Source organism: Homo sapiens, chromosome 13 (assembly GCF_000001405.40).
Source record: "Homo sapiens chromosome 13, GRCh38.p14 Primary Assembly".
NCBI lineage: Eukaryota > Metazoa > Chordata > Mammalia > Primates > Hominidae > Homo > Homo sapiens.
In genome coordinates, this window is record NC_000013.11 from 24,687,634 (window position 1) to 24,713,864 (window position 26,231).

Here is a 26,231-nt window from a genome sequence, read left to right on the forward strand (position 1 = left end):
AGGGGCTGCTCACATGGGCTCAGGGCTTGGGTAGGATTTATGCCTGTCAAGATGAATGAGAACTTAGGCTGGATGTGTAGAAAGGTGGAAAAGGAGCAGGCGTAAGGATGGAAACTAAAGCCACATGCTCTCTGTGCAGGATTCCAGAAGCTTCCCTATTTCCTGGGGAGTTACTGCATTGCCCTTAGCCCTGGTGAGCAGCTTCTTCATTCCAAGTCCTCCTTCATCAAATTAGTCCTCTCACCGGATAAACCTCTAAGAAACTAAAACCCCTTAGCAGAGCAGAGTGCAGTGGCTCTGGACCCAGTCACCACGTTGAACCTGGTCGCTACCATTGACAGGCCAGGTCCCTTCGACAGGTTACGTAATTTCTCTGTGCCTCAAATTCCACCTCTGCGAATGACGAGAGGGAGGAATAATGGCCCCTGCCTCAAGGGTTATTTTAAAGACTAAATGAGTGAATATACAGAGCACAGTGCCTGGCTGGTATTAAGCATTACATAGTCTTTCAAAAAAGCTGGGCAGCTGGAGAAGTGAGGCACGGTCTGCTTTTCTCGGGACCTTCTTTGGCCACGTTAATGCCTCACCCCAAGCTGCAAAAATATGCAGCCCAACCCCTGAGGGAGGAGGAATGTCTAATTCGTATTTGTTTTGGTTGTGCATGTGCTTTGTTTGGCTTTCCCAGGGTCTCTCCAGCACCAGAGCTGCCGAGCTCCTGGCCCGGGATGGGCCCAACTCCCTCACCCCTCCCAAGCAGACGCCTGAGATCGTCAAGTTCCTCAAGCAGATGGTGGGGGGGTTCTCTATCCTCCTGTGGGTGGGCGCCTTTCTCTGTTGGATTGCATATGGGATTCAGTACTCCAGCGACAAGTCTGCATCCCTGAACAACGTAAGGCTCTGGGGTGTCCCCTCCTGGTTTTGCTGGCAGAGCCATCCAGTGAGGCCTTGGGGGCACAGCTGGGGGCTGAATGCCACTGCCTAGGTGTGGGAAAGTCAGGCATTTTCCCAGCTGTAAAACAGAAATTCTATCTGGCTTTCTGATCTTCTAGAGGCAGTGTGGGCATGAAGAGGGATACACAAAACACCTTGAATTTTTAAGGGGGAGAAAATCTGCATCCATGTGAAGTAGTTTGGGGTTCTGTCTCCCCCAAGCTAACCTCTTCCTTTAACACGGAGAGCAGCTGTGCCTGCCGAGACATGAGTACCAAATCCACAAAACTGAATTGGCCAACGTGATGCCAAGAGACAGAAGCCAGAGGCAACAAGCTACATGTCATAGGATTGGATTGACATGAAATGTGCAGAACAGGCACATCCTTGGAAGCAGGAACCAGATCGGTGATGCCAGGGCATGGGACAGGAGCAGGGAGTGACGGCAGAGGGGCCGGAGGGATCTCCAGGCAGGATGGAGATGCTCTGAGGCTGCGGTGGAGGGTGGTGTCATGGCTCTGTAAACTTAAAAAAAAAAATCAATAAGTTGCGCACTTAACATGGGCGAATTCCATGGCCTGTAAATTATACCAGGGCGTAACTGCCAGCATTGCATCCTCCCGTGGAGAGCTCTAGCCCCAGGGCCCGGCTGCTTCCCACTGCTGGTTTCTCTGACTGACGCCCTCCTTCTCACCCAGGTGTACTTGGGCTGTGTGCTTGGTCTGGTGGTCATTTTAACGGGGATCTTTGCTTATTACCAAGAGGCAAAAAGCACCAACATCATGTCCAGCTTCAATAAGATGATCCCTCAGGTGAGTGGCAGCCACCTATCCTCTGGCCTCTGGTGACTCCCAGGTGAGGAAGCCTCAGCTGGGAGGGGCACAGGGCCCTGAGGGCTACGGGTTTCCACTTCCTTCCCTGTCGGAGCAATCGTGGGCGAATTAACCCATCTGTCAGAACCCCAGTTCCTCACAGGATTTTGATGGTCAAATGAGGCACCACCCAGGGCAGTGCTGGTTAGCCCAAGGCATCTTCTGTTCCTGCTCCTCAGTGTTTGTGGATAGTCCTTCTGGGTTCTGGAAGGGACCTGTGGAAGGTCAGGGAGTGTTCTTTCACTGGCAGCCAAGGAGACCAGCCTGCAATTGTTTATCTGTGACCATTTTTGCTCCTGAGCCCCAGAATGCATTTGGTGGGGAAGCCCAGTGCTCCCTTCTTCCCCAAAAACCCCTGTCAGGTGTCCACACTGTCTCTGGCCCAGAGAACTGTGGGCTGGAGAGATTCTGGGTGGAAAAGACGCCTCCTGCCAAGCTTGAAGCAGGAGATCACCTCGTTAAAATTTCCCTGACACTCGCAAGATTATCAGCCTCCCCAGCCCCACCTTCAGTGTTCTGCCCAGACGCCCAGCCAGGATTGCTCACCCTTAGTGGTCTCCTTTTCTAGGAGGCCCAGGGCTCTGGCTTGGCCAGATCTGGCCAACAGCGACTCTTCTGTTCCAAGAACTCTCCATAAGCTCAAGAAAAAGTAGTTCTTAGAGTCTTCAGGCCTCGGGTGAAGCAGTCTTCTGTTTCATTCTTGCTGTTCTGACAGCCTCATGCTCCAGCAGCAATGCTGTGTCCACAGGGCCAGGTGCAGGCTGCATAACAGCATGGACTCAACAGTGAGAGTGATCAGGAAGTTCCAAGGCCTCTGTCCTGGGGTTCGGTGCGGCACAGACTTGGGGGAGGGCCGGTGTCCTTCCAGGGTCTGAGGCATCTGTCATGGTTTTTTTCTGCAGCAAGCTCTCGTCATCCGAGATTCCGAGAAGAAGACCATCCCTTCAGAGCAGCTGGTGGTGGGGGACATTGTGGAGGTCAAAGGAGGAGACCAGATCCCTGCAGACATCAGGGTGCTGTCTTCTCAGGGGTGTCGGGTAAGCGGCAAGGGGTATCCACCCCAAGGACCATGTTCCAAACCTGCTGGCTCTGGGGTCTTTCCCAGCATCAGTATAAGAGGCAGGGAATGAGGTACCCAGCTGTGAACCACCTTCAACATTTCTTCTAGGTGGATAACTCATCTCTCACGGGGGAGTCTGAGCCCCAGCCCCGCTCCTCTGAGTTTACCCATGAAAACCCCCTGGAAACAAAGAACATCTGCTTCTATTCCACAACGTGTCTGGAAGGTAAAAGGCCTCTGGCTCTCAGCCCACATGTCCACCTGTGTCCTTTCTCCCTCCTGGGCTCTCAGGTCTGTCCTTTGCCACACCCCGTTACAAAGCTCATCCCAGAGGAAGCATGGAACTGAAGGGCCTAGAGGACGATGCTTGGCCTTGGGAATGTGGTGTGCCTATCGATTGTGCCAGCCCCCAGAGAGGGCTGCAAGCTGGCTGCACACCCCTCCTGGCTGAGGACCCCTGGAATAAAGCATCTACTTCCCCTGTAGGCACTGTCACCGGCATGGTTATCAACACGGGTGACCGCACCATCATTGGCCATATTGCCTCATTGGCCTCAGGAGTTGGAAATGAGAAGACGCCCATTGCCATTGAGATCGAGCACTTTGTTCACATTGTGGCAGGAGTGGCTGTCTCCATCGGCATCCTTTTCTTCATCATCGCTGTGTCCCTGAAGTATCAAGTCCTGGACTCCATCATCTTCCTCATTGGCATCATTGTGGCCAATGTGCCCGAGGGCCTCCTGGCCACTGTCACTGTGAGTCCATGCTGTTAGACAGCCTGCACCTGGCCCTGTGGACACAGCACTGGTGCTGGGGAGGCGCCCACACAAACTGCAATCTCCCCCAAGTCCAGAGCACCACGCCCTCCCCGCCAGCGACAACCCTGGAACATTCTGCATAGACTGTTCCTTACAGAGACAAAAAATTTGTCATATTTTCAATATTTGACTGCGTTTTCCTTGAAAACGTTATGCTTTCAATCTGCAATTCACACAGCTTACTCTGCCCCATAAGATCTAGATAAGACAGACTCCACCATTCACAGGTTTTCTAGAAGCTTGATGCCTTCCGCACATTTCTTTGGCAGTTTCTACAACTTAGGCATTTAGGCACATTGCCACACTCCACTTACCTCTCTTACGAAAAAAAAAAATTCCTCCCATTTTTCCTGCCGAGGACTCCAGCCCTTTCCTGGCCAACCCCAGACCCAGCTGTTTGTATGGGCCCATGTCATTCAGTCCCTAGAGAAGAGCCCCCTCCTCCTCAGTCTCTCCTGTGGGGGTCTCAAGGGGTAGGAGAGGAGGGGGTTTATGTTTCCAGTTTTGTGACTACATGATCATTGGCCTGCTATTGTCCTGACCAAAGAAAAGAGAAGAAGTTTTTGAAGTCCAGGTCTCCTCTGACTCCAGGAGATAGTAATTTGGGGAAATTGGAGCCAAAAGAACCCTTTGAGATCTAGGGGTTTAAAAGAATCTTTAAAATATGGAGCTTTTAAAATGAAACAACATAAAGGCTGCTGAATTCCCCAAAGCAACAAGTGTGTCCTTTGGGACAACTCTTTGGCATGCACTGGTCAGTCTCTCTTACACACTCCTGCTTAGGGATCACAGGAGGCGTCGTGATTGTACGTGAACACGAGCCACAGCAGCGTGTCCGTGTTTGCTGCCCGTGGGTCCCTTGTTTTCTTCAAGTCATGAAGGAACAAGAAAAGCATCTCATATTTAATCTTTAAAAAAGGATTGTGGCATAGAGGGCTCTTGGCGGCGTATAAGCCACCAGGTCAGCTTAGCTGCGCTGACAACCACACCTCTCCCCTAAAACTAGTCCAGCTCTCTCCTAAAATTCAATCACAGCTCACATTGGCTATTTCTGTATTATTGGACCTGAGTTCAAATGAGGATTTTTCCCAAAGCGTCCTTCCCTCTCCTGCTAGGTGACCCTGTCGCTGACAGCAAAACGGATGGCCAAGAAGAACTGCCTGGTGAAGAACCTGGAGGCTGTGGAGACCCTCGGCTCCACCTCCATCATCTGCTCGGACAAGACTGGGACACTGACCCAGAACAGGATGACAGTGGCCCATCTGTGGTTCGACAATCAGATCTTTGTGGCTGACACCAGTGAGGACCATTCAAGTAAGTCTTATGGAGAGCTCGGTCTGGCCAAAGCTGTGGACTCCATCCTGGGGCTGAGCTGAGCACACAGCAGGGTCTGCAGCCAGAGGATTGCTGGACAGTGACTCATGGACGGCCAGCCCAACCCACAGCAGCCACTGTTCTTTCTCTGTCTTCCAGACCAAGTCTTTGACCAAAGCTCTAGGACTTGGGCCTCCTTATCCAAGATAATAACATTGTGTAACCGAGCAGAGTTCAAGCCAGGACAGGAAAATGTCCCCATCATGAAGGTAATGCTTCTGCAGCACTTGGTCTTAAATCACAGCCAGTTTGTAGTCACTTGCTGAGGTCTGATTGGGTGCTTGATTTCATCTCTCCAGTTGCTTAAAGTTTGTTCAGTGCTTGCAAGAGCAAGTCAGACTCACAAGACATCCAGAAATTTTTCTTTATGCACACTAGCTTTGAGAATACAAAGATGCTTAAAAGGTTTCAGAATATTGCTTTAGCGTCTTCAGAAAATTCTGGAAATGAATGCACTTCTAAGTTACTTTCCTGACTTTTCTGCCAGCTAAGTGGATATAATCAAAGTTCCTTTTAATATACACACCATTCATGGAAATTTAAAGTGTGATTGAATAAAAATAAAAGGACTCCTGTTAACTAGAATATGGCTGCAGACAAAGCTCTAAGGGGTCCTGGAATATCGGAACATACAATAAACTCTCCCCCTCCCTCCCTCTCCTCCTTCCCTTCCTCCCTTTTCCTCTCCATCTCAATGAGTCACTGAATCCCTGTTCTCCTGGCTTTTCTATTTGCCATCTGTTTCCTTCCCTGACTCTTTTTCTTTCTTATTTTTTTGTTTGTTTGTTTGCTTTTCTCTCCGTCAGACAGCTCATGAATGCTCTTTTTGGCCAATTGCTTCTTTGTCGATATCTTCCAAATCTTTATGTCCAGCTCTAATTTCTTACCTCAACTCCAACCCGAATCTCTGGCTGGCTGTGTGCTTCCGCTAGGAAGTTGCACAAATCATGCTTGTTAACTTCCACCCGTACCCAGCCTGGCTGCACATCAGTGCCTTGCCGCAATTTTCTAATTGTCTATGATATAACCATTCTATTTGTCATTGGAACAGAATATTTGGAAGTCATCTTTGACTTTATCCTTTCCTTATATCCAGTAAGCCACCAAGTTCTATCATTCTTGCTTCAAAATATACATAACTTTAGTATTTGTCAGCAGTACCTTGCATCTAAATAGCCGATTACCGGCTGATTGGAATTAAACCTCTTTGATTCCGGTTTATCCCTCCTGGGGTCTTTCTCGAATGCCACTAATTTCCCTTAATGGTGCTTTTATAGTCACTTAACTTTGCTCAAAATCTCTCCGTACTTCCCTGTTTTCTGCTTCTCAAGTCTAGACCTCAGGCTACCTTTCAGGGCCCTCCAGGTCTTGCCACACCCTCCACATCCGCTTGTACCTTGAACACTCACGGACGAGCCTGCCCCTCATGCCCCTGCACCCGCATCCTGGTTTCTGGAAGGCTTTCTTCTCTGTGTATCGGTAACCCACCTATCTATCAAGATCTAGTTCGTAGCTGCTTTTTTCCACGAAATCTTCAGTCCTCGCAGAGGTCCAGCTTCTCCAAACATCCCTAATGCCAGTAGGTGGCACTGTTGTTTACACGCTTACCACGGTCTTGCGGCCCTCCCTGATCACGTGATAATGTCTCTCCAGCTAGGTGGTAATGGGATCAGGAGGGTGTGTTTTGGGTCCTATGCTGAGGGCATGTTGGTTCATTAAATATGTGCTGCAAATATTTTTCTTCTTTGATTCCCAGAAAGCTGTGATTGGAGATGCCTCAGAAACTGCTCTTTTAAAATTCTCAGAGGTCATTTTGGGTGATGTGATGGAAATTAGAAAAAGAAACCGCAAAGTAGCTGAAATCCCTTTTAACTCTACTAATAAATTTCAGGTGAGTTTTTCCTCACAACCGGTAATCTCTGTCATCGGCAGCATGACCTTTCTACTTGCATGCATCCTTTGCTTACCTCATATTTTGAAGGATACCTGGCTTCAAAGACAGTCGTCAGGGATACAGCACCCAGGCATCTGGTCCCCTAGGTCAAGCTCCCTTGCTGGCCTCCTTCCTAACCCTGAAGCAGGGCAGAGAAAGAAAGAAAGGCAAGGACTTCATCAGGGCCTGGCTGCTCCTATGAATGAGCCATCTCTGTCACAGGCACACACTCTCTCTCTCTCACACACACACACACACACACACACTCACACCACCACTATCAGGTACCTTCTGCCGTGAGGAGCAGCAGCCATACTCCAAAGCATAAATGCCAGGTGGGCAGCAGGGAGGCCGAACACCTGCTCCTCTCACCTCTAGTGCATCAGGCCCTCGACCTACGTGGCCTTGTTCCATGTTCGCATCCGGCCTGTGAGGTAGGACTGACGAATCCTGACTCAGAGGAGGAAGCAGGCCCTTAGAAAGTGTTGAGAGACCAGAGTCACACAGCACCCAGTGTTCCCAAGCCTGACACCAGGTCCACGATTCTTCCACCATCACACAGAGGGAGTGCGGCACAGTTCAGGCCATGGGAGCAAGCCCTGCCCTTTGGGGAGACCGGTGAGCAGCCCCTGGGGTGACAGCCCCGTCGTTTTCTGGGGCCAGCCCCTGTGCTGTGGGTGGGGGTCTCCTTTCCATCCCCTGCTCAGGTAGAAGACGGCCTTCCTTGCCTGGTTATCTCAGCAAGCAGGGCTGGCCGACAGTCAGCCATCACAGCCTCCCCATGTTAAGACAAATGACAGTTGGGAGCCCCAGGTCCCCATGCAGATGGGATTTTCCACAGAGCCCACACTGGATCTGGACTTGGGCTTTGCACAACAGTAAAGTATAGAAATGGAATAACCACAACTGTACGTGTGGAGATTTCTGGTGATTATCCACCTGTCTTAGTTCGGATGGAATTTAGGGTTAGGGAAGAACTCTTTTTTTTTTTTTTTTTTTTTTTTGAGAAGGAGTTTCACTCTTGTCACCCAGGCTGGAATGCAGTGGCACGATCTCGGCTCACTGCAACCTCCGCCTCCCAGGTATAAGCAATTCTCTTGCCTCAGCCTCCTGAGTAGCTGGGACTACAGGAATGCACCCCCTGCCCAGCTAATTTTTTTGTATTTTTAGTAGAGACAGGGTTTCACCTTGTTGGCTGGGCTGGCCTCGAACTCCTGACCTCCGGTGATCTATCCGCCTTGGCCTCCCAAAGTGCTGGGATTACAGGCGTGAGCCACCAAGCCCAGCCTAGAGAAGAACTCTTGTGTTGCAAATGTCTTCTTTGTGGATAGTGAGCCAACAGAGAATCACAGTTAGCTAAATAGACAACTAACCAGAAACATATGATGTAAAATACTCAAGCCAAGAAACCACATCTCTTACGTAAAACCAAAGTGAAAATAGAGTGCGCAACAGTCCTAAAAGACTGTTTTAGGATGAGTATTATTATACTAATAATACTAGTGATAATAGGAGCTATTCTGTGCTAATTTCCACAAGTATTAAATTATTCATTCGCACGACAACACTGTGGGGTGGCTAGAGGATGAGGAGGTTGAGGTGCCGCGCATCAGTGCACAGTGTGAAGATGGGGTTAGATGATGCCTCCATCAGCAGCAGGACTTGGAGCCCTGCTGAAGCTCCATCTCCCAAGGTAAAGGCATGCCCAGTTGCAAAAGGGAGAAAAAGCAGGTTCCATGAGGCCTCATGTACAAGTTGGAGGAGAAAGTGGCTACACAGAGTGGGACTAGAAAGGGGAGAGGGGGGCCGGGCGCGGTGGCTCACGCCTGTAATCCCAGCACTTTGGGAGGCCGAGGCGGGTGGATCATGAGGTCAGGAGATCGAGACCATCCTGGCTAACAAGGTGAAACCCCGTCTCTACTAAAAAAAAAAATACAAAAAATTAGCCGGGCGCGGTGGCGGGCGCCTGTAGTCCCAGCTACTCGGGAGGCTGAGGCAGGAGAATGGCGTGAACCCGGGAAGCGGAGCTTGCAGTGAGCCGAGATTGCGCCACTGCAGTCCGCAGTCCGGCCTGGGCGACAGAGCGAGACTCCGTCTCAAAAAAAAAAAAAAAAAAAAAAAAAAAAGAAAGGGGAGAGGGGCTGTGTGAGTTCCTGCTGAAGAGGTCGGAGGTGCTGTCTGGATGCTGTTAGGGTCATTTTATATCTACACATGAGCGGTGCTCAGCCTCACCAGGGCTTTAGATGTCATGGCCTTGGAAGGAGACGTCTCTGCGGGAAGGAAATAAAATGGAAAGCCTGTGTCTTATTGATTAGAATGGTGATGCCCCAAACACACTGGTCTGTTAAGACATTTGAAACAGTTTACGGCAAATTGGAAAATGTTTTATAAAGTTTTATATAAAGATGAATGTATTTAATTTAAAAGATTATCCTTTGTAGCCACCATGATTAAGGGCAGGGACTCTGGAGCCTGCTAGCCTGGGCTCAAATCCCAGCTCAGCCACCAGATAGCCACCTATTGCTCAGTGACCCTGAGTGAAGCATTGAACCTCTGTGCCTCAGTTTCCTCCTTTGTAAAAGGGAATAATAATAGTACCCATGGCCTTAAAGTTGTTTTGAGAATAAATAAGTCGATGTGGACAGCACTTAGAACAGTGCCTGGCACGTGGTACATACCATAAAAGTGTTTCATATTATCCCTATGTTTTAAATGTAAAAAGCCTTATCTTGGCCAGGTACAGTGGCTCACACCTGTAATCACAGCACTTTGGGAGATCGAAGAAGGCAGATTGCTTGAGCCCAGGAGTTCAAGACCAGCCTGGGCAATATACCAAGACCTTATCTCTACAAAAAAAACAAAAAACGAAATTAGCTGGGCATGGTGGCACATACCTGTAGTCCCAGCTACTTGGGAGGCTGAGGTGGGAGGATTGCTTGAGCCTGGGAGGTCGAGGCTGCAGTGAGCTGTGATCGTGCCACTGCACTCCAGCCTGGGGCACAGAGTGGGACCCCGTCTCAAAAAAAAAAAAAAAAAAATTTAAGAGAGAAAGAGAGAAAGAAAAAGAAAAGGCCTATATTTTAGAAAGTGATAGAGCTGGGAGGTTTTCTGTTTGGTTTGGTTTTTGTTGGTTGGTTGGTTTTCTCAATGTCTTTACTTGATCATTAAAAAAAGCAGCAGCAGCAGCTGGTAACCCTATTTGCCCTATACTTCTTTTTGTACTCATCTTTGATACCCAGAAGTCTAAGAAATACTGATTTGTAAAGAACTGTTTTACCCAAAATTGTAGCACTTTTCTTTGCAACTTATTTTCTCCCAAACACTCCAGCTTCCTGAGATTCCTCTTGAGTGCTTAGAAGAGTACCTGGCTTATCAGAAGGGCTAGATAAGAGTTAGTCCTTTTATTCTTGTATATCGATTTTTTTTGCATATCTTATTAGGATGGATCTAGAAGTAGAATTGCTGGGTCAAGAGCATTCCTATTAAAATGGAGACTCCTGTGACTCGGCTGTCTTCCTGAAACATTATACGTGGAAGTGTCCACTTCCTCACACCCCGCCATTTTCTATGACATCCAAGCAGGAAAACTGGGTGGACAATGAGGTGAGGAGGTGCAGAAATTCCTGTCGCCTCCTCCCCTCCTGAGCTCAGAATAGTTTGGGTCTGAAAGACGGCTGCTCCCCACAGGGAGGTAGAGGAGGTGAGATGCAGAGGCTCGCAGCCCCCTAACTCTCACGGGCACCCTGGGAGATCTTGTTCAAGGCACAAGATTTCACACGCTGACGGCCACAACTAGCCTGCCTAAAGCAGCCAGTTTTGCTTGAAAGATGAGCTCCACTTATCCAGAGTGGGTGCCCCACTCTGGGCTGGGGCCAAGTCTAGAGCTCTTCGTCTTACTTGGCCACAGAAAGAAAAAGGGCGGAACATGCTGAGGATGCCATTGTGCCTCTTCCTCCTTTACATTTAATGGACCAGTAGAGAAGAAGGAATGCGTTTCACCTTTCTGTAAGTAACACGCTCAGTTCATTCCTTCCCAGCTCTCCATCCACGAGATGGATGACCCCCACGGCAAGCGCTTCCTCATGGTGATGAAGGGGGCCCCTGAGCGCATCCTAGAGAAATGCAGCACCATCATGATCAACGGCGAGGAGCACCCACTGGACAAGAGCACTGCCAAGACCTTCCACACAGCCTACATGGAGCTGGGCGGGTTGGGCGAGCGTGTGCTGGGTGAGTGCGGCGGCAGGGCCCTGCCCATCACCTGGTGGGCACAGAGATGAGGCAGGCGCCTTGAGGACCTGTGACCTAGCCCAGTGGCCATGGCATCCACGTGAAGCATGTAAAGGAGAACATGATAAGCAGGATGGGAACAAGGAGAGGATGCTGTGTGACAGCACCAAGCAGGGTGGGATGGCCTCCAGAGAGGCAAGCTCAGGGAAGACTTTATGGAAGGAGTTAAATTTCAAACTGGGCCTTAAGTGACTGCATTTGAGGGGAGATAGGGGAAAGTATCCAGGGCCCAGGGAACAGCACAGGCCAATCACAGAGGCAGAACGGCGTGGGGCACATTGGGTGCTGCCAGCAGGTGAGATGGCACTGTCACAGAAACAGGGTTCAAGGGCTGGACTGGAGGTCATGAGATGGAGGTCTTGAACATCTGGGTGAGGAGCCAGGTTTCATCCTGCAGTCAGTAGAGAGCACTGAGGGCTGTGCCACTAGAGTGAGCTGGGCAGTCGCAGGGCTGGGGAAGACTTTATGGAAGGAGTTAAATTTCTTTAACTTCTTTAAATGTCTTTGGCGGCAGCAGGGAGAGGAGAGATGCACATCTCCATAGGAAGCAGCTGCCCTTGCTCAGGCAAAAGGGATGGGAATTTTTTCAGGGTGATGGGAATGGGAAGGAGAGATCAGGGCAAGAGACTTCATAGAGGTAGAGTTTGGTAAGATTTAGAACCTATCAGAGAAGGATAATGTTTAAAAATGATTAAGCTTCCCATTTAACGACTAGGAAGAGAGTGATGCCAGTGATGCAGACAAAGTGTCAGGAAGGAAGGAACCTTAGAAATGCAACAGGAGGAGGACCCAATGGGGGTGCCTGCGGTGTTGTCAAAGGGGACAGTGTGTCCTGTTGTCAGCACCAGGGCTGGCGGAATGGTGCCCCATCAGGACCACAGAATGACAAATTCAAGGAAACAGAAGTGTATGGTTGACGATCCGGCTCATTAAACACCATGGAAGTCCTCACCAATACAGATGCAGTCTGTGGAATGTGTGTTTCTAAAGGCTATTGGAGTTGGCAAATCAGATAAAGCATATAAATGAGATGGTGATGCTTTAGGCATCCAATAACCCACAGTACCGGGTATTCTACACGGGATCGATGCCCACTTGCGTTTGATTTCTCAAAGCCTGCTCCATTGACATTTGCAAAGCAGTGGGCCAGGCTGAAAATAAATTGGATGTGAAAGCTGATCACACAATCTTGGAGGTCCCACCAGACACAAGAGTCCCTTCCACCTCAGCCTATGAGAGGCTGATGCCTTCTGAGAAAAGGATGGCTCGGCCCCATTCCTGCTGGCCTTTCTCTTGGGCTTATCTTGATCTAGCACTGAACTTTGTGCCCCTCCGCTGAACCCCCTTGTTCCTTCACATGCTGTTTTCTCTGCTGAAAATGGCCTTCCCACCTCCACCCTCCCTTTTTTCCCTAGAAATCATCTTTGCCCCTCTCAAGCTTCACCTCACATGTGACCTCCTTGGGGAAGTCTCTCCTAATCCTCCAGGCAGCTGAAATGTGTCTCTGCCCTGAGATGTACCCTATGCTTGATCCCTTTAACTCTGTGCCCCGCTAAACTTCAGAAGTCGAGACTGTGTATTGCCCTAGAACTTGGCAATATAGCAAGATATATTTCTAGAACACAGAGCCTAATGAGCTCACAGTGAATTATATTTGGATGAAATATGTCTTTCCTAAAAAAATGCATTATGGAGTTGAAGAAATTAAACAATTCTGGCTTATTCTAATGTATTGGTAAAACAGCAGAGGACCAAGGTGTATGAGCATGTTCTCCTCTTATTTTTTTTCGTTTCCTATTCTAGTTTCACTGACTCACTAATTCATCTGTATTACAGGTTTCTGTCATCTCTACCTGCCAGCAGACGAGTTTCCAGAAACCTACTCATTTGACATAGACGCTATGAACTTTCCGACCTCCAACCTCTGTTTTGTGGGACTCTTGTCAATGATCGATCCCCCTCGGTCCACCGTGCCAGATGCAGTCACCAAATGCCGGAGTGCAGGGATCAAGGTGGGAGTTATTTTCCTGACTCAAGAAGTTCTTTCTTTATGTCGTGTTCCTTTCTAATAATGGTTTTCATAGCAGATGGTCAGTATTTAGGTGTCTTCAAGTAAATATCATAATTCCTATTTTATTTCTAGTTTCACTGTGCTAAGGTTACTGAAACTGTCCCACAAAAAGAAAATGATTGTGTCTATGTGGAATGAACCACATAAACAGTAAATGCAATGAGAAGAATCTCCTAGTGCCTTGAAGTGACCATATCTCGCCCTAGTCCATGGTAGATACTAAAAGGCTTTATTGGCTGGGCGCAGTGGCTCATGCCTGAAATCCCAGCACTTTGGGAAGCTGAGGCAGGCGGATCATCTGAGGTCAGGAGTTCCAGACCAGCCATGGCCAACATGGTGAAACCCCGTTTCTACTAAAAATACAAAAAAATTAGCCAGATGTGGTGGCACACACCTGTAATCCCAGCTACTCGGGAGGCTGAGGCAGGAGAATCTCTTGAATCCAGGAGGCAGAGGTTGCAGTGAGCCGAGATCACACCATTGCACTCCAGCTTGGGCAACAAGAGTGAAACTCTGTCTCAAAAAAAAAAAAAAAAAAAGAAAGAAAGAAAAGAAAAGAAAAAAAGAAAGAAAAAAGGCTTTATTACTCAGTCTTGAGGCTCAGCCCCCATAATCCATGTTCATCATTACTAGGTTAATATTAAGACTGTTGAAGTAACATGGGGCTACCCCCAAGTAGACACTCACCAGCCCTTTCACAAATAAAGTGGCATCAAAGGGGAAGGGCTTCCTTTCATGTCAGAGGAGGAAGCGTATGAAGCTTAGGAGCAAGGGTAGACCCAATGGGATTAGTGTTTCCTCCAAAGACAGTTGTCTCGTAGATCCAGAGCTGCCACTGTAATCACCAACCACGTTCTCCCAGGGCACTACAGAGTAGGTATTACTGAACCATCCCCACTTTGGCCAACCGAGTTCTTCATTACCCGTGGGCCTTCTCGTTGTCTTTGCTCTAGGTTATTATGGTTACTGGTGATCATCCCATCACAGCCAAAGCTATTGCCAAGAGTGTGGGGATCATTTCAGCCAACAGTGAAACAGTGGAAGACATTGCACATCGCCTCAACATTGCTGTGGAGCAAGTTAACAAACGGTAAGCACAGGAGCAGCATAGTAAAAATTCCAGTTTATACCCATGGGGCCCCACTGGCTCTAAAGAGCTGCACTACTTGGAACAAATCAGCTTTTTGCTCTCAGAGTTATGCTAGGCTTGTTTGAGCTATTATTTGCATATCCATGTATTCACTCTAATTTCACTGAGCAGCTAATATGTGCCAGGCACAGTATTGATACCATGAAATGACCCTTTATGTGTTCCTTGTTTGAAATTTCAAAATCCAGTGTGCCCTGGGCACAAAACCTATGTGCCCAATTTAGAATAAGAAAAACTGAAACAAAGGGTTTATGTGAAATTACTTGCCATAGATGCAGTTGCATAATTTGGAATCGTAAGAACCCTGTGGGTTGTTTCATGCACCCTCCTTGGTAAGCATCTTGGGTATTTATCCACCCGGTTTCATAACGTGTAGCTATGTAAACACACCCTTCTTTTTTATTTGGTAATAGATAGAATGGAAGCTTCCTAAGGAAAGTTTTTTTCCTTGTTTCTCCTAATTCTTTTAATCATGTTTATCCTTATTCTTTTAATCATGTTCATCCAACTGTACATTCACTCATGTATTTGTTCTTTCAACAAGTATTTACTGCGTGCCAACTATATACCAGGCAAGACCTGGAACTACAGTAGCAAACTGAACAATACTATCCACACCGTTGGGGAATCTTTCCATCGAGCCAAGGAGACACAAACAAAGCTAACAATGATGTGGCCAGTGTAATGAGGGAGCCACACAAGGCTAGGGAGCTGGGCATGCAGGAGAGTGGCCTGGACTGTGCCTGGTCTCCATGAGTCAAAGACTCCGAATTCTCAGGTTGAGAAGTAATGTTCATTAGCTGGGTTATGTTTTCACGCATGCGGGAGATGAGGGAAAGACCAATGCACCTCTTCAGTTTCCCCAAGCACTTAGGTCTTTTAGGGACACACAGCTGTCAGGTCATAACAAATTACCACGTTAGACAACCAACCAGGGTTCCCGCCTCTGGGCACAGCAGCAGTACCTGAAGTCTAAGAGTCTTGCAGTGCCCTTTAGTATACATAACATCCCTCTATGAAAACAACTTTGGGGCTTGTTTATTTGTTTGGTTTTGTAAGATAATCGGATTATACTTTTTTTCACTTTAGAATTTTAAACAAATTTTGTTTGTTTGTTTGTTTGTTTATTTAGACAGAGTCTCTCTCTGTCACCCACGCTGTAATGCAGTGGTGTGATCTCAGCTCACTGCAATCTCCACCTCCTGGGTTCAAGCGATTCTCCTGCCTCAGCCTCCTGAATAGCTGGGATTACAGGCGCCCGCCACCATGCCTGGCTAATTTTGTATTTTTAGTAGAGACGGGGCTTTGCCATGTTGGCCAGGCTGGTCTCAAACTCCTGACCTCAAGTGATCCACCCACCTTAGCCTCCCAAAGTGCTGGGCTTACAGGCGTGAGCCACCACACCTGGACTAAAAGAAATTTTTTTAAGAGTAGTCAAGTGCAGTAGTGAGAAGAGGGGAAAGAGTAGAAGTTTGATCTGTAACTGACTGTGAACAATCAGTTGAGCTAATTCACTACTACCTTCAGACCAGCCGAGTCTTCTTTTTTTAGATACAAGGTGTCCTGTCAGATCACCCAGGCTGGAGTGCAATGGTGTGATCATAGCTCACTGCAGCCTCGACCTCCTGGGTTCAAGGGATCCTCCCCTCTCAGCCTCCCAAGTAGCTGGGACTACAGGCTTGTGTCACTGCACCCAGCTTCATTTTAGCAGATTTTTTTTTTTTTGAGATGGAGTCTTTCTCTGTTGCCTAGGCTGGAGTGTGGAGTGCAGTGGTGAAATCTCATTGCAGCCTCCACCTCCTGGGTTCAAGGGATCCTCCCCTCTCAGCCTCCCAAGTAGCTGGGACTTTAATTTAAAATTTTAGCAGATTTTTTTTTTTTTGAGATGGAGTCTTTCTCTGTTGCCTAGGCTGGAGTGTGGAGTGCAGTGGTGAAATCTCATTGCAGCCTCCACCTCCTGGGTTCAAGCAATTCTCCTGCCTCAGCCTCCTGAGTAGCTGGGGTTACAGGCATGTGCCACCACACCCGGCTAGTTTTTGTACTTTTAGTAGAGACGGGGTTTCACGATGTTGGCCAGGCTGGTCTTTAACTCCTGACTGCAAGGGTTCTGCTCGCCTTGGCTTCCCAGAGTGTAGAGATTACAGGCGTAAGCCACTGCGCCTGGCCCATTTTAGCAATTTTTAATGAAAGTTGTATATAAGATACCTTATTCCTGCATCTTCTCAATTGCTTCTTTTTTATATTTGCCCTTCCTTCCCTACTTAGGAAGATTTGTTTGGCCTTCCATTCAAGGATCTTTTGTGGTCTTTGTCTAGTTTTAGCCTGGTGATGGCCATGTGCTGGTGACGTGCACACGACGGTCCTGCCCTTAGCCTCCTCCTGTGCTCCTGTTCAGTATAGGTGGCACATTTCTTCCTATAAACCTGGACTGCTTTGCCAATTTGCTGGCCCGTATAGTGTCTTTGTGCAACCTCAACTTCCTCATCCTTTCAGATGGGCATGGATGGAACTGTGCTTGTAGCAGACTCCAGAATGTGCTTCTGTCTCAGCTCTTTGGAACGAGAGAAAGACATAATCTTCCTACGAATGTGGGAAGGTGCATTGAAATGACTTTTATGATTCTTGCCTCAGTCAAAAGTCACAAAGGGACTGCACTTCCTCTTGGTCACTGCCACTCTGCTCATGGCCACAAAAGGGAAGAGTGGATTACACATTTGTATACAAATCACCACACTGAGTGAAGTGGATGCTTTTGTGAATGTTTTCAGTTATTCACTTCATCAGCTCTAGTTTCATGACCATATAAAAATTGCATCTTAGCAGGTGTAAGGGGAAAGGAAACACCCCTTCTTTCTTCTCTTACTTTCTTTTGTTTTGTTTTGTTTTGTTTTTTTGCCAGCGGTTAAGGAGACCTGTAGTTTGAGTCAAGTGCTAGAATTCCAGTATTTAGCACCAAGAGGTAAAACAGACCTAGAAAGCTCAAAACTTGCAAATTGTAAAGAAAAAGACCTGCAGCAGTTTGTACCTACATTGTTTAAGCTGAGATTTGAAGGCTGAAATGTAGTGTTAGCCACGAGAAGCTGAGGTGAGAGATGCCCATTCCTGGTCAGGGAGCGAGACCCGTGAAGGCCTTAGGGTACAGGGGATGGAGGATGTCAGAACTGAGAGCATCCAGCGGGCAGGAGGGAGAGCCCAAGGTGAGGCGAAGCTTGACAACGCAGGCCCCACCTGGGCTCGCTGGCTAAAGTTAGGGATTCCGGGGTCTGCTCCAAGCACGGTGGAAAGCCCCTGAAGAGTTTTAGCAGGGGACTGGCTCAGGCAGCTCTGCATAATCAATAGGCCCTAGAACCTTACTTTTATAGTCAGCAGGCAATAGCGCTGCTCAAAGACTTCAGTAAACTTCTGCCTACGTAGCACATTGCACAAAGATGACACTCTGTAAATCTGAAATACCCAACGGCAAGTAATTATTACCCCTTGTTTGGCCATAAAAGAATTCTAGGACCCAAAACATATGAACAGGCAGTTTGGGGGTTTTATTTTTATTTTTGTTTTTGAGACAGGGTCTCACTTTGTCACCCAGGCTTGAGTGTAGTGGCATGATCATGGCTCACTGCAGCCTCAACCCCCCAGGCTCAAGCAATCCTCCTGCCTCAGCCTGCTGAGTAGCTGGGACCACAGGCACATGCCACCATACCTGGCTAATTTTTTAAAATTTTTTGTAGAGACAGGGGCTCTCACTATGTTGCCCAGGCTGGTCTTGAACTCTTGGCCTCAAGTGATCCTCCTACTCAGCCTCCCACAGTGCTGGGATTACAGGCATGAGCCACTGCGTTTGGCCATGAATGGGCAGTTTTTTAACTTCCTTTTACTTCTGAAGTAAAGCGTTGCTCTAGGAAGTACCACTCTCACCTGTTCTAGTAGGGATAAGGCTACCTGGTTTTTTATTCCTATTGTTATATGGTACCAAGAAATGGTGTTATATTTTAGCCTCAGTTTGCCCTCTTGAAATGGAGACTAAAGTGTTCCCAGGACTCCTGTTACCTCACTAGAGCATTAGGTATCAAGGACACTGGGTTCCAGGTCAAGTCAGAGAGGCTTCAGCCAGCATCCTGCCTGGAACAGTGTTTCAACCTAAGATCTGCCCTTGGGCCTCACCCAGTTTCTTCTGGCCCTTCTAGGGATGCCAAGGCCGCTGTGGTGACTGGCATGGAGCTGAAGGACATGAGCTCAGAACAGCTGGATGAGATCTTAGCCAACTACCAGGAGATTGTCTTTGCCCGGACATCCCCCCAGCAGAAGCTGATCATTGTGGAGGGCTGTCAGAGGCAGGTGGGTGGACAGCAGTGTCCAGAGGACTGACAGGCCCATCACTGTCCATGGGCAAGTGCAGAGGTCTGGATCTCACATCAGGCTGTGGTGCCTTTGAAACTTCAAGAGAGAGTTCTTGGCTCATCCCCATCACCTGACCTCTCCAACCTCTCAGGTGGGCTGGCCCCTGTCCTCCTTTGAGACCCCCACCACATGTTCCCCGAAAGGCTCACCCCAGCTCTCTGCATTTTGTCATGAGAGCCCGGTGAAGCATTTGCCACTGTGGTAGTTGTGAGTAAAGAGAGATTTAAAATGCAAAGATTTAAAACAAAAAATGTGAAGACATAAGATACAAGACACCTGCGCATTAGGTTTTCCTCATTTGCACGTATCTTGTTTGGAGACCCTTGTTCCTGCTTCTAAGATTTCTCATCTTTATCTTTTCCCCTAAATGGGCCTTTCCGTTCAGCTATAATCATCCTCGCAACCTCAAGAGAAAGGGAAGTCTTGTTGCTCTTGCCAGGCCTGCAACCCACTGGGCCTGCTCACTCCCACTTTCTCCCTGGGTCCCCCGCCATAGGATGCTGTTGTTGCTGTGACCGGGGATGGAGTTAATGACTCTCCGGCTCTAAAGAAGGCAGACATTGGGATTGCCATGGGGATAGCAGGTTCTGATGCAGCCAAAAATGCAGCCGACATGGTCTTGCTGGACGACAACTTCGCATCCATCGTCACAGGGGTGGAGGAAGGTGAGTGAGTCTCAGGGGGTCTTCCCAAGGGCCAGGGTGGTCTGGGGGACTAGAAGTAAGTTCTGAAGGAGAAACCTCTCTGCCTAGGTCGCCTGATCTTTGACAACCTCAAGAAGACTATTGCTTATTCCCTGACCAAGAACATTGCCGAGCTGTGCCCCTTTCTGATCTACATCATTGTCGGGCTCCCCCTGCCCATTGGCACCATCACCATTCTGTTCATTGACTTGGGGACAGACATTGTAAGTGACACTGAAGGGAACAGGCTGTGATGCCTGCCCCAGGGGAGGTCAAGTTCAGGGTCGCTACCTTCAAGGGCCGGGGATGGACTAACTCAAGGCTTCTCAGCTTCCATGTGATGGGGCCTGTAGCTCTGCATTTCTCACAGGTTCTCAGGTGGTGCCCATTCTACCAGTCCACATGCCACACCTCAAAGCAAGGGACCAGAGGCATCTGCCAAATGTTTGGAAATTAAAAACACTCTATAGTGAGCTTTTTTTTCTTGAGACAGAGTTTCACTCCCATCACCTAGGCTAGAGTGCAGTGGTGCTATCTTGCCTCACTGCAACCTCCGCCTCCCAGGCTCAAGTGATTCTTCCACCTCAGCCTCCCAAGTAGTTGGGACTACAGGCTTGTGCCACCACACCTGGCTAATTTTTGTATTTTTAGTAGAGATGGGGTTTCCTGGCCTCAAGTGATCCACCTGCCTCGGCCTCCCAAAGTGCTGGGATTACAGGCATGAGTCACTGCACCTGAGCTATAGCAAGCTTTTCAAGACATGAGTCTTCATCCTCAAAAAAAAAAAAGAAATGCCATTGGTCAGTTTCAGCCTATGGGCTTCCCTTTTCTTTTGGGAAGATGAAGCTGTCACTCAGATTAATCACCCAAATAACCACTGGGGGCCCAGTGACTAAAGTGATAATCTCACAGCCACCTCTTGTTAAGTAAGAGAGTCTGACATGGAAGACCTTTACCTAAACACAGTAAGAAGTAGCAGTTATGAAGACTTTATAAAGCCTTGCCCTACAGTAATGTCACCTAAACCTTCCCCTTTTCCAGTATCCATTTAAAGAAAGCCCCGTCTAAGCTGCCCATGTGGCTGTGGCTTACGTGGGCAAGCAGGGAAAGCAACAGACAGCAAGCTGAATTCTTAGCAGGAAACTGGCCCTTCGAAGTGCCCCCTTCCCCTTCAAATTGCCCCCTTCCCCTCTCTTGTTTTCTACAACACCCAGGTAATCCCTAATTCCTAGAGAGACTGGAGATGTCTTTCCCTTTGAGGGGTATTGAGGTCCCCAAAGTTGATGGATCATTTTCCAAGCCCTTCACATTTGCCTGCTTTGCTCTGCTGCAGTGCTTCTCCAGGCCTGGTGCGGGCATCACCTGGGAACTTGTTAGACATGCACACTCTGGGCACTGGTGGACACCTGTAGCCTAGCTACTCAGGAGGCCAATGCAGGAGGATTACTTCAGCTCAGGAGTTTGAGTCCAGCCTGGTCAACACAGAGAGACCTAGTCTCTTAAAAAATAAAAATTAAGAACAAATAAAATAAAAATCTTATTCCAGATAACTGGGCTAGGAATGGAAATAGGTTGTACACCCATTGTCTTTTAAAAAAGAGAAAGAAAGAAAGAGAAAGAGAGAAAGAAAGAGAGAAAGAGAGAGAGGGAAAGAGAGAAAGAGAAAGAGAGAGAAAGAGAAAGAAAGAAAGGAAAGAAAGAAAGAAAGAAAGAAAGAAAGAAAGAAAGAAAGAAAGAAAGAAAGAAAGAAAGAAGGAAAGAGAAAGAGAAATGAATGCAAATTCTCTGGCCCCAGCCCAGTCCTCCTGAATTGGGAAGTCTGGAGGTGGGGCGCAATGATCTGTCTCTTAGCAGGTCCTCCCACCTGGAGGGAGAGGACGGCACAAGAAATTCTCCCTGTAGGGGAAGAGTGTTTTATAACCAGCATCCTTCAGAACTGCCAGCACAGGGTGATAAAAAGCAGCTGATTTCTAAAGGCACTATTCTTAAATTTCCATACAGACAACACGCCCTCTACTGCCTATAGCCTGGATGGGCCAGCTCCATGCCCCCCACCCCATCCAGCCAGTGCCCCACCCACCCCAGCCCCCCTCCCCTACTGTGGGTAGAGCAGAACATCCTGGGGTTAGACCTCACCAGCCTCTTCCCCTCTAGATCCCCTCCATTGCCTTGGCGTACGAGAAAGCTGAAAGTGACATCATGAACAGGAAGCCTCGCCACAAGAATAAGGACAGGCTGGTGAACCAGCCGCTCGCTGTGTACTCATACCTGCACATTGGTACGATGAGGGCGCGTCTTCCCCATCACACGAGGGCCTGCCCCGAGAATTCACTGGAGTGGGGGGCACAGCCAGAAAGTGTGGTTTTCCTGTGGGGCCTGGGTTGGGGAGGGAGGGGGAACCGAGAGTAGACAGGATGAGGCAGTTTCCTGAGGCCATCATAGAACCTGTGTCCTATCTCTCTTGTTCTTTCAGGCCTCATGCAAGCCCTGGGAGCTTTCCTTGTGTATTTCACCGTCTATGCACAAGAGGGCTTTCTGCCCCGCACTCTCATTAACCTGCGGGTAGAATGGGAGAAGGACTACGTGAATGACTTGAAAGACAGCTATGGGCAGGAATGGGTGAGTGGCGGGAGCCCTGCTGCAGAGTCCACCTGATTCTCTCCATGCTCATTGCCCTGCGCAGAATTACATAGAACCTCCATGTCCCTGAACAGCCTGGGAAAGCTTCAATTAATAGGGCTCAGGGCCCCCTTGCTGACACGTGTTTGGCCTTTGCCAGGTCTCATGGCACAGCCTCCTGTCTTGGGCTAGATGACAAGAGGTCCCTTTTTTTACCTTAGCTTTGCCATTGGTATAGAAGAGTGACCAGCCCAGCCACACCCACAGTGCGGCCAAATAAATTTACATCTTTCAGGCCGGGTGCAGTGGCTAATGCCTATAATCCCAGCACTTTGGGAGGCTGAGGAGGGAGAATCACTTGAGCCCAGGAGTTTGAGACCAGCCTGGCCAACACAGTGAGACCCTGCCTGTGTTAGAAATAATAGTAATGATAATTTTTTAAAAAATTAACATTTTTCTCTACTCAGCTGGTTCAAGAAAGAAAAATGTTTCTTTCCAAACACTAGAAGGTGGTCCATTCTCAGTCCGGGTGAGGTGTGGAAAGAACATGAAGCTTTAGAGAACTGCATTGGAATTTCCTAGAAGTTTTCCTTTAGGCCTCAAGGTCTCTTCCTTCTCTGCCCATTAACAGACAAGGTACCAGAGGGAATACCTAGAATGGACGGGCTACACGGCTTTCTTTGTTGGCATCCTAGTCCAGCAAATAGCAGATCTGATCATCAGGAAAACCCGGAGGAATTCCATCTTCCAGCAGGGTCTCTTCAGGTACTGCCTGTGCCCGGCCTCCTGGGGCAGCCCTGGGCCTGCCGTGCAAGGATGATGATGATTTGTTTTTCACAAGACAGAGTTCTGGCCACACTTGTAACCCCAGAGGCATTGATTTTTCTGGTGGCATGGTCTGCTGGGTGTATGATCATGAAGCCACAAGAATCCCAAGTCTGTCTGCTTTTGTGTGTCTTGCAGAAATAAAGTCATCTGGGTGGGGATCACCTCACAGATCATCATTGGTCTGATCCTCTCCTATGGCCTCGGAAGTGTCACAGCCTTGAGTTTCACCATGCTTAGGTGAGTTCACCCTCAACAGCATGGAGGAAAGAGCCAGCCTCTGCTTTGAGCTGTCGCAGCCTAAATAAACCTGAGGATTCCCAGGGTTCTTCCCCAAGTCTTTCAAAAGACGTCAAACTGATCCCATGCTCTGTGAGCCCAAAGCTTTGATCTGCATTTTCCAGAAGTGGAAATGGGTTTTCTAGACCTCACCAACCGGCCTTCATCCTCATCCAACAGGTTGCTTCAAAGGCAGACATTGCTTCTAGCAGTCACAGTGCAGGTTAAACAAGGAGCTTTCCACCTTTATTTTGTGGGACCTCGTGGATTTGTCGTTCTTTGCAGTAAAGCAAGACAAATGAACGAGAAGCCCCATTCCCATTGGGCAGGGTTGGGCTATCCCTGTGGATGAGTCAGGGTTCACTTTCCATCCCTTTGCTTCCAGGGCTCAGTACTGGTTTGTGGCTGTGCCGCACGCCATCCTGATCTGGGTGTATGATGAGGTGCGGAAGCTCTTCATCAGGCTCTACCCTGGAAGTGAGTAGCCTATGATTTTAGAGGCTCTGTTTACCCACTTCAACAGACTCTCCATTTCTGATGTACTTTTTTCTACCTCTACAGGCTGGTGGGATAAGAACATGTATTATTAAGACCACCTCCCTTCCTATGTCTCTCAGCAGCACGTTGGGGCACACTTGTTCATCTTCTGACCGTTTGCTGGGCTATTCCCCTGCAGTGCAGACATCGTCAAAATTCAGACAAGAGGAAATTTTCATGCAGAAAGCTGTATGCAGGATGCTCACTGATGTTTTGCACTTTAAAACTGAAATTCAACTCTTTATATAGGATTTTCTTTTCTATCTCCATCTCCTCATTAAAAAATACGTACATTTCGAGGTAATGGTATAGGGAAGAATGTGTTTATGTGTATTTGAAACTCCTTGATGTTAATAGTCTTGTGTAACCCAGGCATCTACTGGGGCCTGCCTTAAGCTCTAGCTAGGATTGCTCAGAACTCCTTTCCACACCCTATTAAAGGCCCCATGACCTCCCTAAGATTTCTGCAGATCCCCTGAGAAGGTATGTTTTCATGGTCTCCTTGCTCGAAAAAGGCCAACTCACCCGAGGGTCTGCAGGAGATGGAAGTGGCGGCAGGTTTACATCACAGCAGCACGCATGACCTCAGCTTTGACTCGTTTAACTCTGAGACGTCCTTCTTGAAGGCCCTTGCCACAGTTTCCCTGGCCACGCCACCCCATCCCACCTCTGGTCATCTCCCCAGCCCTTTATGCCCCGTCGCCCTCCACCCCTACATCAGCTCCTCCAAAACTGAGCTCCCAGTTCATTTTGCATATCCTAACTCAAAATGCTCAGCTAATCCAAGGGGACTTTCTTTACCAGGATTCAACCCTAGTAGAGAGCTGTTATGGTTTCAATAGTCATATTTATTTCTTGTAAAACAGTTGCCAGGTGCTCTCCAGCAATAACGTTTTGTCAGTCATGTTTCATGTTTTAACTTAGGTGTATTCATGTGTGACACTTCCATGTTGACAGGCCCGGAAAGGCCTCATTTTTAACTAAAAGATGTTTTATAAACCCAGGTTTAATTGTGGTGTTCTAATTGGTTCACATTTTTCTAGAATGAAGAGCATGGGACAAAAAAATAAGATATGATTTCCTATTTTCTTTTCGTTGCTCCTTCTGGTCATTTTACTTATCTGTGGAAGATCTGGAAATGTAGGATTTTTCTTTCAAACTCTTCCTCATGACCCCAGGGCTCCAGCCAGGGCCTCTGATGTGCCCTCGATTCTTGGTCGGACGCCTGTGGGAGGGCCCGTCTTTCTGCAGCAGCACTCGAGAGAAGGGTTCTACAGCCTTTCCATCAACTGCACACCTCGCACTAACTCATTTGACAGAACGTGAGAATTATGTTTGGTTAAGCTTTCCTCATCTAGTGGCCTGCCCCGTCACCTCTCTCCATTACAGTCTCACTCGGGGGCATCTGGGGCTGATGGCTCTAGGTTGGCATCTCCTGGACAGGAAAAGGCAGCCTTAGAGTCACCATGCTCTTGGGGTCACATGTAGGAGCAGGAAAGAGGGAAGGAGACTATCCTTGTAACTTTATGTATATAGATTCCAGTGCATATTGTGTGCAGCCATGTAAGCTAAAATAATGTTGCTGTCCTCAGGAGATTTGTAATCTGTGTTCAGCCACAATTATCATTGGACTAATCTATCAGTAGTTCCAGTGAACTGCAAACACTTCCCAGAGTGGTTTGGGCAGTGTGGTCATGGCTTTCTCGTTCCAGTCTCGACAAGGCAGCTAATGCTTTCTAGACTTCAGCTAAGAATAACTTGACCTTACTTAATCTTTCTTGACAGGCTGCCTGAGTGCTCATGGCTGCAATGCTTGGCAGCTCTTGGTCCTGCCAATGCCAGCAGGACAAGGCCATCAATTTAGCACAAAGCTGCAAGGTTTAACTTGGGGTTGGATTAGGGTTGAAAGGAGTTAACTTGGAATTAGAAGCCTCTTCATAGCAGGAACTATGTATGAAATAACGTTCCTATTTGTGCTTATTTACTCTTGCAAAAAGTTGACACTCAAATATTTATAAAATTAACAAATAACTAACTTAAGAAATCCCAGAAAAGACACTAGCATTATTGAGTAGCTTTATTAAGTTGTAGACAGAAAAAGGCAATAAAATCCATTTCAGAGGGTGTTTTTGGAGGGACTATTTAATTGACCCTCTGAAGCCTAGATGTCTTTTATTATAGGAAAAAAAAATGTCAATTTAAATCTAATTGATGTGGTAGAGTATCTCAGAGACATAAACATGAGGCTGAATTCCTAGAGTCTTTGCTTTTTAAAACAATCTAATTTATTCTGATTATAAAATTGCAGCTCTAAATGAGCTATTTTCTTAAATAGAAAATTTAGAATAAATGAGATTAAAAAGTAAATTAAAATCACCCTGAATCTCACTATGTA

At 47.8% G+C, this 26,231-nt stretch overlaps 1 protein-coding gene and 2 pseudogenes across 2 annotated transcripts in view, besides 2 other annotated features; 1 reads left to right on the plus strand and 2 right to left on the minus strand.

The window, feature by feature from the left end:
- The window catches only part of ATP12A (ATPase H+/K+ transporting non-gastric alpha2 subunit), a 32,065-nt gene extending 7,226 nt beyond the window's left edge, over positions 1-24,839 (plus strand). Inside the window, exons 4-23 of one of the 2 annotated variants that reach the window (NM_001185085.2) lie at positions 686-889; positions 1,629-1,742; positions 2,705-2,839; positions 2,971-3,088; positions 3,331-3,617; positions 4,796-4,994; positions 5,154-5,263; positions 6,811-6,945; positions 11,025-11,217; positions 13,114-13,289; positions 14,302-14,438; positions 18,680-18,830; positions 19,390-19,558; positions 19,646-19,800; positions 21,731-21,854; positions 22,050-22,195; positions 22,827-22,960; positions 23,159-23,260; positions 23,685-23,776; positions 23,861-24,839. In NM_001185085.2, coding sequence (NP_001172014.1) covers positions 686-889; positions 1,629-1,742; positions 2,705-2,839; positions 2,971-3,088; positions 3,331-3,617; positions 4,796-4,994; positions 5,154-5,263; positions 6,811-6,945; positions 11,025-11,217; positions 13,114-13,289; positions 14,302-14,438; positions 18,680-18,830; positions 19,390-19,558; positions 19,646-19,800; positions 21,731-21,854; positions 22,050-22,195; positions 22,827-22,960; positions 23,159-23,260; positions 23,685-23,776; positions 23,861-23,889 — 2,910 coding nt within the window. In that variant the 3' untranslated portion in view covers positions 23,890-24,839. The remainder of the gene's footprint in view (positions 1-685; positions 890-1,628; positions 1,743-2,704; positions 2,840-2,970; positions 3,089-3,330; positions 3,618-4,795; positions 4,995-5,153; positions 5,264-6,810; positions 6,946-11,024; positions 11,218-13,113; positions 13,290-14,301; positions 14,439-18,679; positions 18,831-19,389; positions 19,559-19,645; positions 19,801-21,730; positions 21,855-22,049; positions 22,196-22,826; positions 22,961-23,158; positions 23,261-23,684; positions 23,777-23,860) is intronic. The other variant, NM_001676.7, reaches the window with a different exon arrangement.
- Positions 6,160-7,359: an enhancer, noted in NCBI's record as "CDK7 strongly-dependent group 2 enhancer chr13:25267931-25269130 (GRCh37/hg19 assembly coordinates)". NCBI's record gives its function as "activates an origin of replication core promoter dependent on BRD2, BRD4, P300/CBP, MED14 and CDK7 cofactors, with strong dependence on CDK7, by STARR-seq in HCT116 cells {active_cell/tissue: HCT116}" and the evidence as "EXISTENCE:reporter gene assay evidence [ECO:0000049][PMID:35650434]".
- RNY1P7 (RNY1 pseudogene 7) lies at positions 15,923-16,032 on the minus strand (annotated as a pseudogene).
- RPL26P34 (ribosomal protein L26 pseudogene 34) lies at positions 16,705-17,155 on the minus strand (annotated as a pseudogene).
- Positions 22,486-23,685: an enhancer, noted in NCBI's record as "CDK7 strongly-dependent group 2 enhancer chr13:25284257-25285456 (GRCh37/hg19 assembly coordinates)". NCBI's record gives its function as "activates an origin of replication core promoter dependent on BRD2, BRD4, P300/CBP, MED14 and CDK7 cofactors, with strong dependence on CDK7, by STARR-seq in HCT116 cells {active_cell/tissue: HCT116}" and the evidence as "EXISTENCE:reporter gene assay evidence [ECO:0000049][PMID:35650434]".
- Positions 24,840-26,231: the final 1,392 nt, after the last annotated feature.